The sequence below is a fragment of the Homo sapiens genome, chromosome 6, assembly GCF_000001405.40.
Source record: "Homo sapiens chromosome 6, GRCh38.p14 Primary Assembly".
In the NCBI taxonomy this organism is placed as follows: domain Eukaryota; kingdom Metazoa; phylum Chordata; class Mammalia; order Primates; family Hominidae; genus Homo; species Homo sapiens.
In genome coordinates, this window is record NC_000006.12 from 16,115,303 (window position 1) to 16,130,099 (window position 14,797).

General features: G+C 43.9%; 1 protein-coding gene across 21 annotated transcripts in view, besides 1 other annotated feature; it reads left to right on the top strand.

Moving 5' to 3' along the window:
* Positions 13,466–14,465: a silencer, noted in NCBI's record as "silent region_16955". NCBI's record gives its function as "represses an Ori minimal core promoter by ATAC-STARR-seq in GM12878 lymphoblastoid cells {active_cell/tissue: GM12878}" and the evidence as "EXISTENCE:reporter gene assay evidence [ECO:0000049][PMID:35858748]".
* The window catches only part of MYLIP (myosin regulatory light chain interacting protein), a 34,802-nt gene continuing 33,788 nt past the window's right edge, over positions 13,784–14,797 (top strand). For all 21 annotated transcript variants that reach the window (XR_007059254.1, XR_007059255.1, XR_007059257.1 and 18 more), the window contains exon 1: positions 13,784–14,107. Coding sequence is in view for 4 of the 21 variants with exons in the window: in XM_017010789.2 (XP_016866278.1) it covers positions 14,021–14,107 (87 nt within the window). In the remaining 17 variants the exon portion in view is untranslated. The remainder of the gene's footprint in view (positions 14,108–14,797) is intronic.

Here is a 14,797-nt window from a genome sequence, read left to right on the forward strand (position 1 = left end):
AATCTAACTTGCTTTGAAAGTTGAACACTTATTCACTCAAAAATATTTAAAGTGCCTCTCTGCTATGTGTCAGTTCAGAAAGGACTAAGTTAGCCCACTGAATACATTATTAAACAGAAGCACTCAGCTTATTATCAGCCCAGATGGTATCCCATTTTCTACTTTCAAGACCAGAGGGGAGAAAATTTTTGAAAGCTTTTGTTGGAAGTGGAGGAAACCAGATAATGAAACTACAGCCATAAAATAACAATCAGTGACGATTCCATTCAAACATGGAGTTTTGAAGAATATTAACTATTAAGAAGTTGGACTGATGACCTGGAAAATAACCTCTGATTGAGGAAAAAAGGCTACACTATTTAGGGCCACATATAACAATCACAAAGATAAAATCCTTTACTTCCTCTCATCTGTATAACTTTAAATTGTATTTAGAAAAGCTATATAATGTACAATTTAAGTCACAATCAGGAAGGCGGAGACTGAAAAAGGAAAGACATTCTTTTACTGAAATAAAGTGATAAAATAGGAGAAGAAAATTCCAGGACTGGCATAATTAGAAGTACATAATTTTAAAACTCTGTGCTTAATCTTAAGATCAGTATTTTTGGGGGTCGGCTGCAGTGGCTCATGCCTGTAATCGCAGCACTTTGGGAGGCCAAGGTGGGTAGATCACCTGAGGTCAGGAGTTCGAGACCAGCCTGACCAATATGGTGAAACCCCGTCTCTACTAAAAATACAAAAATTAGCCAAGCATGGTGGCAGGCGCCTGTAATCCCAGCTACTTGGGAGGCTGAGGCAGGAGGATTGCTTGAATCCAGGAGGTGGAGGTTGCAGTGAGCCGAGATCACACCACTGTATTCCAGGCTGAGTGACAGAGCGAGATTCTGTCTCAAGAGAAAAAAAAAAGAAAGCCAATATTTTTAGCTCAAAGAAATCATTTACCATAAGCCAATTTTGCTAATACCTGAGAATACTTTTGTTGTTGTTTTTAAGGTAAAAGTCTAACTAAGCCCACCAATAATGAAATTGCCAAAGTATGTTTAGTGACTTTTTAGTGGTTAGACAGTAAAATTAAATATCATGTAGAAATAACCTCCTATTTAGACCTGTAGTCTATACTTGATCATCTACAGCTATCTACATTGAGTTACATGTTCCATTCATAATCTAGAAATTTTCTTCTGCTGTTCAGCTACTATATTACCTACTTGGATTATATTGGTAGCCAGGACTCTGCTAAATATGTGGCTACCTTGTGAGACAGGCTTACCCTGTGAGAGACCAAGATAGAGGGTTATTTAGGACAGTTGTACCCAATTCACTACAAAAATAAATCAGGTCCAACAACGATGATGAAAACATGGCCCAGGTTAAATATTTTCTCATATATTCAACAAAAAATAAAGGGAAAAATATAAATTTGAAACCAATAGAATTAAACTCCAAATGAAATAGAGTAATTCCAGTTTTGATAATGAAGTTTCAGAATACATACACTAGCCACAAATGACTTTGACCAATCATCAAGTATGCTTCACTAAAGATGAATATACTAGGGGCAAATTCTTTCTTAGGTAGCAGAAAGAAATTGTGAAAATGATTTTGTATATAACATAATCTAACAGCCTCCTGGCTGGGCTCTGTCACCCCAAGCTGGAGTGCAGTAGCGTGATCTCGGCTCACTGCAACCTCCTCCTCCTGGGTTCAAGCGATTCTCCTGCCTCAGCCTCCCGAGTAGCTAAGATTACAAGTGCCCACCACCATGCCTGGCTAAATTTTTTGTATTTTTAGTAGAGACGGGGTTTTTCCATCTTGGCCAGGCTGGTGTCAAACTCTTGACCTCAGGTGATCTGCCGGCCTCGGCCTCCCAAAGTGCTGGGATTACAGGCATGAGCCACTGTGCCCGGCCTCTTTTCATGTTTTTAAATTAGTCTCCCCTTTTTGAGGAAACTGAGGCCTAACGAGTTGTAATAATAACCAGTATTTATTGTAGGCTTTCTGGGTGTCAAGGACTGCATAATTTCATTTAATCCTCACCAAAATCAAACAAGCAAGCAAATTCCTCAAAAATTAGGAAACCAAGGTTAAGCCAGGGGAGTAACTTACACAAAATCATAAAATGGCAGAGGCAGGACTCATTCCTTTAACTACAGGACCAAGGAGCATGGCTAATTTTCTGGAAAACTACATAACAGCTTTGTTACAAAGTCTTAAGTTTTCTTCAATTTAACTGAAATCATTTTAATATCTAAAATATTATTAATTCAATATTTAGTTCTCTCCAAACTCCAATTTAGAGTTCAAGGGAGGGAAGGGGGGAAGTAAGATGGAGGAATTGCAGTTGAGCTGCTCAGCATCAGGAAGGGGAGAAGCATCTAGAGACCTGCTCTGCTCTGGAGTCGCCCCATTCTGGAATAGAAAATTGGGGCTCTGTGGTCACCTCTCTCTCTGAGCAGGCCTGGCTGTCAGGAAATGGTAGGAAAACTTGGGAATTTGGCATCAGTCAGGAAGGAAATTCGGTTTTCATTGGCGACATCTACCAAACACTTAGGGAACAATCAACGCCAATGCTATACAAATTCTTCCAGAAAATGTAAGCGAGAACACTTCCCAGCTCATTCAGTGAGGCCATCACTAGTATCCCGATACCAAAACCAGACAAAGCCATTACAAGAAAAGAACTCTACACAAATATCATTCATGAACATAGATGCAAATGTGTCTTATGTAGTATTAGATCAAATCCAGCAACACAGAAAAGAACAGTAGGACTGTTTGTATTTGCTTTAGATTTTCATTTTTAATGATTTCTATGCCTAGTGCAGTGTCTGTAATCTTTTCTCTTTTCCTTTGCCCAGCCCAGCAAAGGAGGCGGCAAAGCTTCCTTTAATAGCCAATGACATTTCCACAGCAGTCACGTGGAGTGGGCAGAAAGCACCCCATTTTCCGTATGACTCTTACAACAGTGGTCCCCAGCTTTTCTGGTGCCAGAGACCAGTTTCATGGAAGACAGTTTTTCTCTGGCTGCAGGGTGCGGGTAAGGATGGTTTAGGGATGATTCAAGTGCATTACATTTATTGTGTATTTTATGTCTATTCTTGTTACATTGTAATATATAATGAAGTAATTATACAACTTGCCATAATGTAGAATCACTAGGAGCCCTAAGCTTTTTTCCTGCAACTAGACAGTCCCATCTGGGGGTGATGAGAGACAGTGACAGGTCATCAGGCATTAGATTCTCATAAAGAGCACACAACCTAGATCCCTCGAATGCACAGTCCACAATAGGGTTCATGCTCCTATAAGAATCTAATGCCACTGCTGATCTCACAGGAGGCAGAGCTCAAGCAGTAATGCCAGCGATGAGGAGAGGCTGTAAATACAGATGAAGCTTCGCACTTGCTAGCCTGCTGCTCATCTACTGCTGTGCAGTGGGGGGTTGGTGTTGAGGATCCCTGTCTTAGAACATGTGTTGATTCTATCATTGCACTGCACAGCGCATTATTTTCACACTTGACATTATTTTACTTTCATTATGTTAGGTATGTTGATCTTCTGAACTTTAAGAAACAGAAATTTAAGTATTTCTCCCAATATTTTGCTGATGCTTTTATGTGACCCGTCTCACTTAAATCAGAGAACAGGTATTACTCCATTTTACAGCTCAGAAAATTGAGTCTCTGGTTGTGACTTGGCCTTCATATGACTTGCAAGGTCAGCATTAAAATCCACACAAGTGCACTTCTCTGGCCTATGAAGCCGAAGGTTGGCAACATTCAGCAATCACATTTGCATTTTGCCTGTGTGGACGTTGCATAAAGAACTTTGAACAAGAACTTGTAGGATGATCTTGCAATGGAATGCGAAATCTTGGAGGCTGAAAACAAATGAACTACTGATTAATTTGGTTCATAAGCTTTCAGAGAAAGCATTGTTTCACTTCTCTCTCAAAATATCTGAAACACTGTCATATTAAAACATATACTTGGTTTATTTAAAATACAGTATATACGCATCCTTCTGTATGAAAATCTCTGTGGCATGATACAGCTTGTTACTCAAGTTAAACACTTTCCTTCCTGTGTATCTGAAATTACGTGTTACTTTACAAGAACCTTGAAGAGGGTTCTGCCTTAATATTTGTCCTGGGACGTTGAGATGGTATTATTATAATTAGCAAGATTCAAAGGATTTCAGGTAATTAGAGCATATAGTGTTTTAAAAAATAAGAAGCGGCCGGGAGCGGTGGCTCACGCCTGTAATCCCAGCACTTTGGGAGGCCGAGGCTGGCCAATCACGAGGTCAGGAGATAGAGACCATCCTGGCTAACATGGTGAAACCGCGTCTCTACTAAAAATACAAAAAAAATTAGCCGGGCTCGGTGGCGGGCGCCTGTAGTCCCAGCTGCTCGGGAGGCTGAGGCAGGAGAATGGCGTGAACCCGGGAGGCGGAGCTTGCAGTGAGCCAAGATCGCGCCACTGCACTCCAGCCTGGGCAACAGAGCGAGACTCCGCCTCAAAAATACAAATAAAAATAAAAAAAATAAGAAGAAAGGATTTAGTAGAATTTAAAGAGAGGCAGAACTTCCTAATATCTTTCCAGTAACCTACTTGTCCAAATAAAAATACCTGCTAAACATCATTTGGGGAAATAACCTGAATAGTTAATTAGTATCTTGAATTGACAAAGTAGGCAGAATAATATTAATATTTATCCTTTGAAGTGCGACTAATGGAGTCTCGGTCTATTCATATTGGAGGTTCATATCAAAGTTTAATTTTCTTGGTTAGTTTAAAATATCTCATTAATATTTTAACTAATTCTAAAAAACTGCCACACTTGAATATTTTTAGGTATTATTTTTAGATAACAAAAGCCATGGCCACTCATTAAAATAAAGTTCTAAAATTAAGTAAAGTCAGATAGTTTTTTTTTTTTTTTTTTTTGAGACAGGGTCTTGCTCTGTTGCCCAGGCTGAAATACAGTGATGTGATCTTGACTCACTGCAACCTCCACCTCCCAGGTTCAAGCGATTCTCCTGCCTCAGCCTCCCGAGTAGCTGGGACTACAGGCGTGTGCCACCATCCCCGGCTAGTTTTTTGTGTTTTTAGTAAAGATGGGGTTTCACCATGTTGGCCAGGCCAGTCTCGAACTCCTGACCTCGTGATCCGCCCACCTTGGCCTCCCAAAGTGCTGGGATTACAGACATGAGCCACCGCACCTGGCCCAGATAGTTCTTTTCTTTAAAATTTCTTTTTGTAAATACCTACCAGCCAAAACAATCACGGCCAACATGAGTGTATGTCCTTCTGCGTTATTTTTCTGTATAGATTTGGTGTGCATTTAATATTCTTGTAATAATATTCTGCTGGTTGTTAAAACTTTATTCAGCAGTGAAGCAGTGAGGGAGAGGAGGAGATAAGACATGACCCTAAAGTCTCTGCCAGCTCCATCAGCACCTCGGGCAGGTTCTGTCTGCAATCCGTTCTTTTCTTAGATGATTTTTGATGAGTGAGGGGGTTGTTGAGCCCCCAGCTGCTGTTTCCTCAGAGGCCTGCTTGCTCTTGGGTAAAACATGGGGACAAAGGCTGACAGTGCTTTGAAGTAGGTGCCTATTCCCTTAGGGCTGGAGTATTTGAAAACATCTACACAGGACTCGCTTACGTGCTGCTTACATATTTTTCCTGCCATTGAGTCAATGTGACACTTCATTGCCACAGTAGTCGGGCAGGAGAGCTGCAAACAGAAACACAAACGGGAGAGCTGAGAGGCAGCCAGGCAATGTCCTCAACTGACCACAGTCTCATTATTAAAGAAGATAGAAAGGTTATTTAAGCCAGAGGAATCAAATAGTCCCAGTGGATGAGGGATGGAATAGTGACTAGTGAGCTCCTTTTGTAGTTTACTTCTTTTGGGGACAGCATCCACTGAAGGCTTGCATAGCTCTGAGAAACCTGCAACGTGAAGATTAGGCCAAGGCAAAATGGCCGACTCTTAACAAAGTTGACTTGCAACCCGTGTAATTGGAATTTGATGGGGGGAAAGCGTGGCGCAACAAATCAAAGCATAAGTCTCTAACCTCTTGTCCTTATGATCTTCAAATAGGATTCCAGATCTAAAAGCCTCTTATATGACCATGAATTTAGATCTTGCCTAGAAAACAGCAAGAGTGCATGAGGGAGCAGCACATCCCATCAGTCATCTGCTAGCAAGAATTGTCTCCTAAGAAAATTGATTTACACAGCAGGATGTCAAATGGATGACAAAGGTAACATAGGCAAGCAATTTAAAGGAATCATATCATTTTTCCACTGTACATTTGAATATCACTTTTCTTCCACTGTACATTTGAATATCACTTTTCTAAGTATTTTTGCCTCGTTATCTCTTTTTATACTTTGCATATATATACCATTTTTGGCTTGCCATTTTTCAAGAAAACATTTTCACAGCTAGATGAGATTTTTAAAATATATATTTGAAGCTGGTTAAAAACAACTACAATCTGAGAAAGACCTCTTATTGACTAAAGTGGAGCTTAAAAAGGGAGAGGAGGATTTGGTTTTTCTCCAAATGCCTAGAAATGTAAGTGATGCTTATTTTTAATCTATCACAATCCTGTATCTAAGACCTTCCTTGGACATCTATGATAAATCAAAATATCTTTATCATGACAAGAACAGTGATATACACCCGGGTGGAATCTTGATTTCATGAGTATGTATTTGACATAATTTATTACGAAAAAGTGAATTAAAACTTTGTGTTACAAGTCTTTCCATCTAAATTAGACCCCAAGATCAAGAGATTTGGTGTTTGTCTTCCTTACATCTGCCATTGGTAGCCCCAACTTTCCAGAGAAAAAGCAACAACTGTTAGAAATGTTATAGATATACCAAGGGTATGCTAAATCAACCAGTGATGTATGTTGTGAAAGTGACAAGCTTTTGATCAAGATAGAAAACAAGATAAAAACTATGAGTGTTTTAGGATGAGGCATCTTCTCATTAAAGTTCAGTTACATTGTCTCTGCCCAGCTTTTTTACTGCTACTGACATTGGCATAGTTTATAGCACTTGGTATGCAAACCTCACCCTCCTTCAGTTATTCAATGTTGTGTCCTTGCTGTGTTCTCTGAAATTCTGATTATTTAAAAATGATTTGAAAATGAAGGTCTCCTATCTTCCTGGCAATCTCTCAATGGCTATTCATATCTAGCACCCTCTATCAAATGTTTTCCTCTGTTTCTCCACTCCTCCCCTCTTCTCTCACCTGGTTCAGAATTCATGGACAAGATTGCATGGGAAGCCATAGGCATTCCAGGGTAAGGAGAAGCAGACTGGTTCCTCCCTACCTACACTGATGTCCAGACCTCAGTACTATGCTTCCCTCTAAAACAGACATTTCTGTTCTCAGAGCTCAGGAACACAGCAAAGATTAGGTACAGGCTGTGGATATTTCTCAGGTTGCCAAAAGCAAGAGATTCTGCTCTTTCTTGGGTTCAGATTTGCTGGAGAACAGGAGTCCAAGCATGTGCTCCTCAGTGGTTGGTGTAAAGTCGGTGCCCACTAGGAGTTGAGGCAGATAGGTACCTTGAAGCCCAGAGAACAAACCAAATCTCTCATTGACCTACCTAGTTTTTGTGTAGTTGCCCTTGGTAATTCCTTAGTCTTAGCTCTTGACAGAGTAAGGTGGGAAAGACCTCAGGTATCTCACTTGGGTCTGAGTTTTAAAGAAAGTAGAAACTACCCTCCCCACCCACCCCACAAGGCCAGTGCAGAGGCAATAGTATTAAATAGTAATTCCAAGAGAGTAATTCTAGAGAAAGGTGAAATGTCCAGCTGCCCAAACTACATGGAATGTTTACCTCTTATCTCCCACCTTGGAAGATCTGGTTTTTAATTTCATTCAGGAAGACAGAAATTTTTGTGTACTCTCACACGTTTCACATCTCAATGCATTTTCTATATCGTGGACAAGTTCAAATGCATATCTATTAATGTTAACCTTGGAAAAACCTGTTAACTCATCAACTGAGGTTCAGGCTTGAGTTGGAGCCTCAGGCAGGTTGGTTGTCTATTCTCTATTCTGTGGCTTCCAACTGCATCCCTAGCATCAGTGAGTCCCCAACCTCATTCAAAACTAGAATGATGGTGAACTCTGCTGTGTGTGGATCAGCACCTATGTATCACTACCCTTGATAAGTAACTCAAAAACACATGCCTATTGATCATTTCCATAAGTAAAAGATAGGCATCAAAAACATTGTTGTTAAACAAAATGTACCAAGTTGGAAATTTTCTCCCAGCTCTGAGCATCTCTCAATGAAGTGACGTATGCTGAACAAGTAAGTATATCACAAAATGTGACCTTTCGGGGCATCTTAGTAGTGAGAAAGAAGACAAACGTAAGAAAGGTTAGTAGTCCAGAGAAGAAAAGAAGAGAACTGAGAAACAGTAACAGTTGGAATTATTTTTGTGTGGTTGTTGTTCTTTCTGGTTATAACTTTCCTAATAGTCATAATACCAGGTGTAGATTTGGAACTCTGCATCCAAGTCTCTCTTGCTCTCTTAATATATTTCTGGAAATTAACATGCAGTATTTGATTATAACATGGTCAATATTTAGAGCCCATCATATGCAAAATATAACAGTGAAACATCAATACTAAATAGAAATGTCTGATAAAATTATAGGTACTTCATTTTTTGCCTTATACTTTTCTGTCTTTTCCAAGTATTCTGCAATGAACAGTAACTCTCATAACTAGAATTTTTTTAACTGCCTGCTAATTAAAACAATGCCGTTTCAGATCTCCCAGAGTTTTTAACATGAGTGCTGCCTATTCCTGCTTCATTCCTTCTTTTTCTCTTCAAACAGCCAGTTTCAGAAATGAGATGTTCTGGTTTGATGGTAGGCCAGGATCAAATTAAACTACTCCTGAATTTCACAAGCCTAATATTTCAAATGAGAGATTTCAGCTCATTTGACATATTCTAACATACTTGTGCTTGATGAAGTGTTACTTATGTGAACCATTAGCTTGAATAATGTGTGAAAGCAAAATGACGGTTTTCTTAGGCAGTCACTAATTGTTCTTCCCTCAGTGCTTCTACAAATGAACGTTGAGAGGCAGAGAGAAGGGTGTGGCAGGTGATGAAGGCTGTCCTTCTCTGGAGACCCAGCATAGGGTTTCTGCAGCAGTGCACGCAGTGTTGAGAATGCAATGCACAGAGATAGGTACCCAGCCATCCAGATCAGACCCAGTGCTCAATTAGAAGGAAGATTTTGCAGCCAAATGATCATCACATCCACACAAATACCATCTAGTGCTCAGTCTTGAGCCCTAGTATGTGAGACAGAGAAAATCTGTGGTGCTTGGGTGTGTCTGAACAGCTAGAACTCCACTGGGTTAGCCAACTCTACCGCCTAGTTATGGTTTCTATTTTTAAATTCTATATTCATACAGCTGACCTTTTTTTTTCCACTATGCTGGTTAATTTTAATGCTATCTTTAAAAGATGAGAGCTAATTGAGAGAAAAAGAGAGCAGACACAGATAACTTGGGCATCTCTCTGGCTTCAATCACTGCTCAATCTAATATAGTTCCCACCCTGGGTGTTCAGAGTCTCTTATTTGGAGTTAGACCCAGCTGGGGCTTGAAACTGGCTCCAGACATTCAGCAGCATTAGCAGATGGTGGAATCCTCGAGGAAGTAATTCTACTGCGGGTTTTCTATTCCCTAACCAGGTCTTTTGAGCATAATGTGCTTTCTCACCAGCTCACTCAGCCTCCTCATTCTGTAACTAACCAGTCTCTCCTTAGCTCTACTCAAGGAATAAATTACAAAACAGAGATGGAGAGAAAAGACAGAGAGAGAAAGCGAGGAGAGAGAGGGGTCATGGTCCAGTATATTCCATACATGCTAGTGGGAAGCCAGTATTTTTTTTTTTTTTTTTTTTTGCTTCCCAGTCATAAGGATTTCTTACTGCCCGCCCCTCCCACCCCCAAGTGCCATTTTCCTATTTTTAGCTTTGTTTTTGTTTTAAGAAATCCTTCTCTTCAGTCTTATCTGGGGATTCTTAATTTCAAAACAATTGAAATCTTCACCAACCATCCTATAGCAGAAGCACTATCTGGGTTTGGATTAGAAATATCCCTGTCACGAGCACAGTGGCTCACACCTGTAATCCCAACTCTTTGGGAGGCAGAGGCAGGAGGGTCGCTTGAGCCCGGGAGTTTGAGACCAACCTGAGCAACATAGCGAGACACCCATCTCTACAAAAAAATACAAAAATTAACTGGGTGTCGTGGCACCTGCTTGTGGTCCCAGCTACGCTGGAGGCTGATGCGGGAAGACTGCTTGAGCCCAGGAGTTCAAGGCCGCAGTGAGCTATTTTCACATCACTGCCTGCCCTCTAGTCTGGCAACAGAGCAAGACTCTGTCTCTGAAAAAAAATTAAAAAAAAAAAATTCTTGTAAATCTTCTACTTCCAACTATTGTGCAAATGACAATTGTTAAAAATAGGTCGGGGCGGTGGCTCACACTTGTAATCCCAGCACTTTGGGAGGCCAAGGCGGGCAGATCACTTGAGGTCAGGAGTTCGAGACCAGCCTGACCAACATAGCAAAACCCTGTCTCTACTAAAAAAGCAAAAAATTAGCCGGGTGTGGGGGCGCGTGCCTATAATCCCAGCTACTCGGGAGGCTAAGGTAGGAGAATTGCTTGAACCAGGGAGTCGGAGGCTACAGTGAGCCAAGATCATGCCATTGCACTCCAGCCTGGGCAACAAGAACAAAACTCTGTCTAAACAACAACAACAACAACAACAAAACTATGAAAAATGTGGGGTTTTGTTTGTTTTTTGTTTTGTTTGAGAAAGGGTCTCACTCCCTTCGGCCAAGCTGGAGTGCAGTGGTGAGATCATGATTGACTGAAGCCTGGACTTTCTGGACTCAAGCCATCCTCCCACCTCAGCACGCTGAGTATCTGGGACTACAGACACATGCCATCATGCCTGGCTAATTTTTTATATTTTTAGTAGAGATGGGGTTTTGCCATTTTGCTCAGGCTGATCTCAAACTCCTGGGCTCAAGGGATCTGCCTGCCTCGGCCTCCCAGGGCTCTGGGATGACAGGCATGAGCCACCACGCCTGGCCAAAAAGTTTTAAATAAAATAAACATGTCAGATTTTACCTATGCTTCTACAAACTATTTTACAAGCTTAGATTTTTTAAAAAAACAATGAAATCATACTTGCAAAAGAAAAATCCCTGCTAAAACCAAAAATATAAGTTATTTTTAAAGTAGTCCACAAAGTGGGTATTTGGTTTGGGTGTTTGCTTGTTTTATTTTTGTTTATTTTTTTTTTCTTGGCCAACCAATATTTTCCCGTTCTACTCATTTCCACACCTGGTCCCATTGATTCTATGAGTTTCCAGTTAGCCAGCTTTAGTTTCTATTGTTCATAAACAAAAATACTAACCAATATAACTGGTCTCCCTATTGCCCCTCGCCTCTTCTTCCTCTTCTGAAACTTCTAGCAATTAAGCATAAAGTAGACAAGGAATGAACCAAACGCTATCTTCCAGATAAATTCCCCAGATTATTAGTAAACTGGAATTCAGGGAATAGGCACTGCAGTTAATACAAGAAGGGACTGTTTCAGCCCACAATAGCATGAGGTGTATTTATAAGACAGAAAGATGTGAGAGTGCACCTGTTCCTCTGCAACAGTGGGGGTTAGGACTTGGACAGTTTACAGTTTTACTCGGTCAGCTTTAGCAAAGAACTGTGTGTGGGAGGATCCCTCCTTTTTTTTTAGCCTTGGGCTCTGATATCGTACCTGGTTGTTCGGAAATAAAGGCCACTAACAGATCCTTGGGACTCGTGAAGGGGGGTAGGGACAGGAAAAGTCATCATTAAGCAGTGAAGGCACTGAACTTATAGCTCCCCTTACATACACGGGGACATTCAAATGCTTTTGTGAACGTTATTATCTTTGCTGCGCTTCCCAACAATGCTGGGTGGAGACAGAGCAGATATTGCCATCTCCATTTTACTGTTGACAACACCAAGCTTCAGACAGATGAAGTAAGTTTTCTCTTTTTTTTTCTTTCGTTGTTTTCTTTTTGTTGTTGTTGTTGTTTAGAGACAGGGTCTTTTGCTCTGTCGCCTAGGCTGGAGTGCAGTAGGGGGATCACAGCACACTGCAGCCTCGAACTCCCAGGCTCAAGTGATCCTCCCACCTCAGCCTCCCATGTAGCTGAGACTACAGGCAGGCGCCACCACGCCTGGCTAATTTTTTGTATTTTGTGTAGAGATGGGGTTTCGCTGTGTTGCGAAACCGGGCTGGTCTCAAACTGCTGGGCTCAGGCGATCCTCCTGCCTCGGCCTCCAAAAGTGCTGGGATTACAGGTGTGAGCCATCGAGCTGGCCTGAAGTAAGTTTGCTAAGTTTCCACGGCTGAAACCCACATCATCTGGCTCCTATAAAGAAATCAAAAAGGTAGGCTATGTAATATATTGGCAAAGAGGAACAAGCGGTAAATGAGTGAAGGGTTGTAGACCTTTAATAGCTAATATTGCAGTAATGCCACCTGTTAGGTCAGGAGATGAGCACCTTACCTTAAGACGAGGACAACATCTGGTTGCCTGTGAGAAGGGACAGGCAGGGTATCAGGTGCTGCACAAATGTTTAATGAATGAGTGAGATAAGACAGGAGGTAGAATGAGCAACCTGAGAGAGGGCCTGGTACCCTGTAAGGCGTTTTGATTCAGCAGAACGAGTAAGGAGAAGCCCTTCCGGAGTGTAACACACCAGCACTAGACCAAGACACCTGGCTCACTGGTCAGCTGCAAAAACTTTCATACTCAGATTTTGTTTTTCTCAATGATGAGGTCTTAATAAGGAACAACAATTCTGCCTCCAAGCAACCCACTGTGGCTAATCCTGGTGGAAAAGAGTTTTCTTTTTCTCTTTTTTTTTTCTTTTTTCTTTTTCTTTTCTTTTTTTTTTTTTTTTTTTTTTTTTTTTTGAGACAGGGTTTTTTGCTCTTCTTGCCCAAGCTACAGTGCAGTGACACAATCTCAGCTCACTGCAACCTCCGCCTCCTGGGTTCAAGCGATTCTCCTGCCTCAGCCTCCCAGGTAGCTGGGATTACAGGTGCCCGCCACCACGCCTGGCTATTTTGTTTTTTTTTTTGTATTTTTAGTAGAGACGGGGGTTTCACCATGTTTGCCAGGCTGGTCTCGAATCTGACCTCAGGTGATCCACCCATCTCGGCCTCCCAAAGTGCTGGGATTACAGGCGTGAGCCACCATGCCCGGACGAGAACAGTTTTCTTTAGGCTTTGGGTTGCTCCTTTTCCTTTTTGCTTTCACAACCGAAATGCGTGCTCAGAGTGATCCAAGATATTTGAAGAACAGTGGCAGCTTGGAGGTGTTTAATCACCGTAAATTCGAGACGGCAGAAAGGCGTCCCCGCCTGGAGCCCCGGGCGATCGCTCACTCTGAGCAGCGTCGCCCAGCGGACAGAGGCGGCTGGTGTGTTCCGGGGTCTCCCTCCCTTCCCGCAGCACTCGGCGCCCGCAAGCTGCCACCTCCCGGGGCGGCCAGGGAAACTCAGCCGGCTCTGGGAGGCGGGGGCCGCGGTCGAGGGGCGCCGCTATTGGCTGATCGGGCGGGGGAGGAGGGGCAGGGAGGCCGTGATTGGCGGGGACCCGAGCTGAAGGGGGCGGGGCCGCTATATCAGCAGAGTCCCTGTCGCAGCGCAGGCAGTTGGGCTGCTGGAGTGCGGCGCCACCGCGGAGGACAGGGGCAGCTGGCGGGCAGCGGGTGAGGGGGTGGCGGGGACGCGAGTGGCGGCCGCGGGGCCCCGGACAAGGGTCCGCAGAGCTGCAGCCTTCGAGGGCCAGCCCTCTCCGAGTCCGGGGCTGGGTCCCACCAGTGACAAGGCGGCAGCCCCGCGCACACCAAAGAGAAGGCGGCTGTGGCGGCAGCGGCAGCCCCAGCCATGCTGTGTTATGTGACGAGGCCGGACGCGGTGCTGATGGAGGTGGAGGTGGAGGCGAAAGCCAACGGCGAGGACTGCCTCAACCAGGTGAGGGCGAGGGGCAAGAAGGGGCCCCGGCGGGTCCCGCGAGGCCGAGGGGCCTCGCAGCGACGCCTGGCACTCTGGCGCGCCCCCTACTAGGGGCCGGGAGGCACTGCGGCGGCAGCCGGGGGGAGCGCGTCCCCTCCTCTCCACGGGCGTGGGGCGCGCGGTCTCCTCCTGGCGCGCGTGGGGTGCGCGGAGAAAGCGCGCAGCGGGGGTCCCCAGCGCTGAGGGCCGGGCGCAGCCCGCAGCCGGGATCCACCCCCCAGCGCCCCATCATCCCCCCAACCCAGCACTTTCCCGGAAGAAGGCGGCTCCGCACACCTGCCGCAGGTATGTGCGTGATGCCGCCTGTCGGGTCCCCGCGGCGCCTGGCAGTGCCACCCGCGTGCCAGGATGGGATGGAGTGGCTCGAAGCAGTCTCGGGCCCCAGGGGTTCTTGGCAGACAAGCCGGGCCCTTGTCTCACGCTGCTTCTCAGGCTGCTGCTCTCAAATGCACCGTTCACCTGCATCTCCGGGTTTGCGGGGGACGGGAGGAATAGGTTTGGGTCATCTACTGCTCGGTTGTTTTTAAGCATGTGTTTCCTTAACAGTGAGGGAGATCGGTGCCAAATAGTGCAGAGGTGGTATGGCAGACAGCACATGTGATCCCAGGAAAACGCTGTGCCCTCAACCCCTCTAGCTCTGAGATGTTT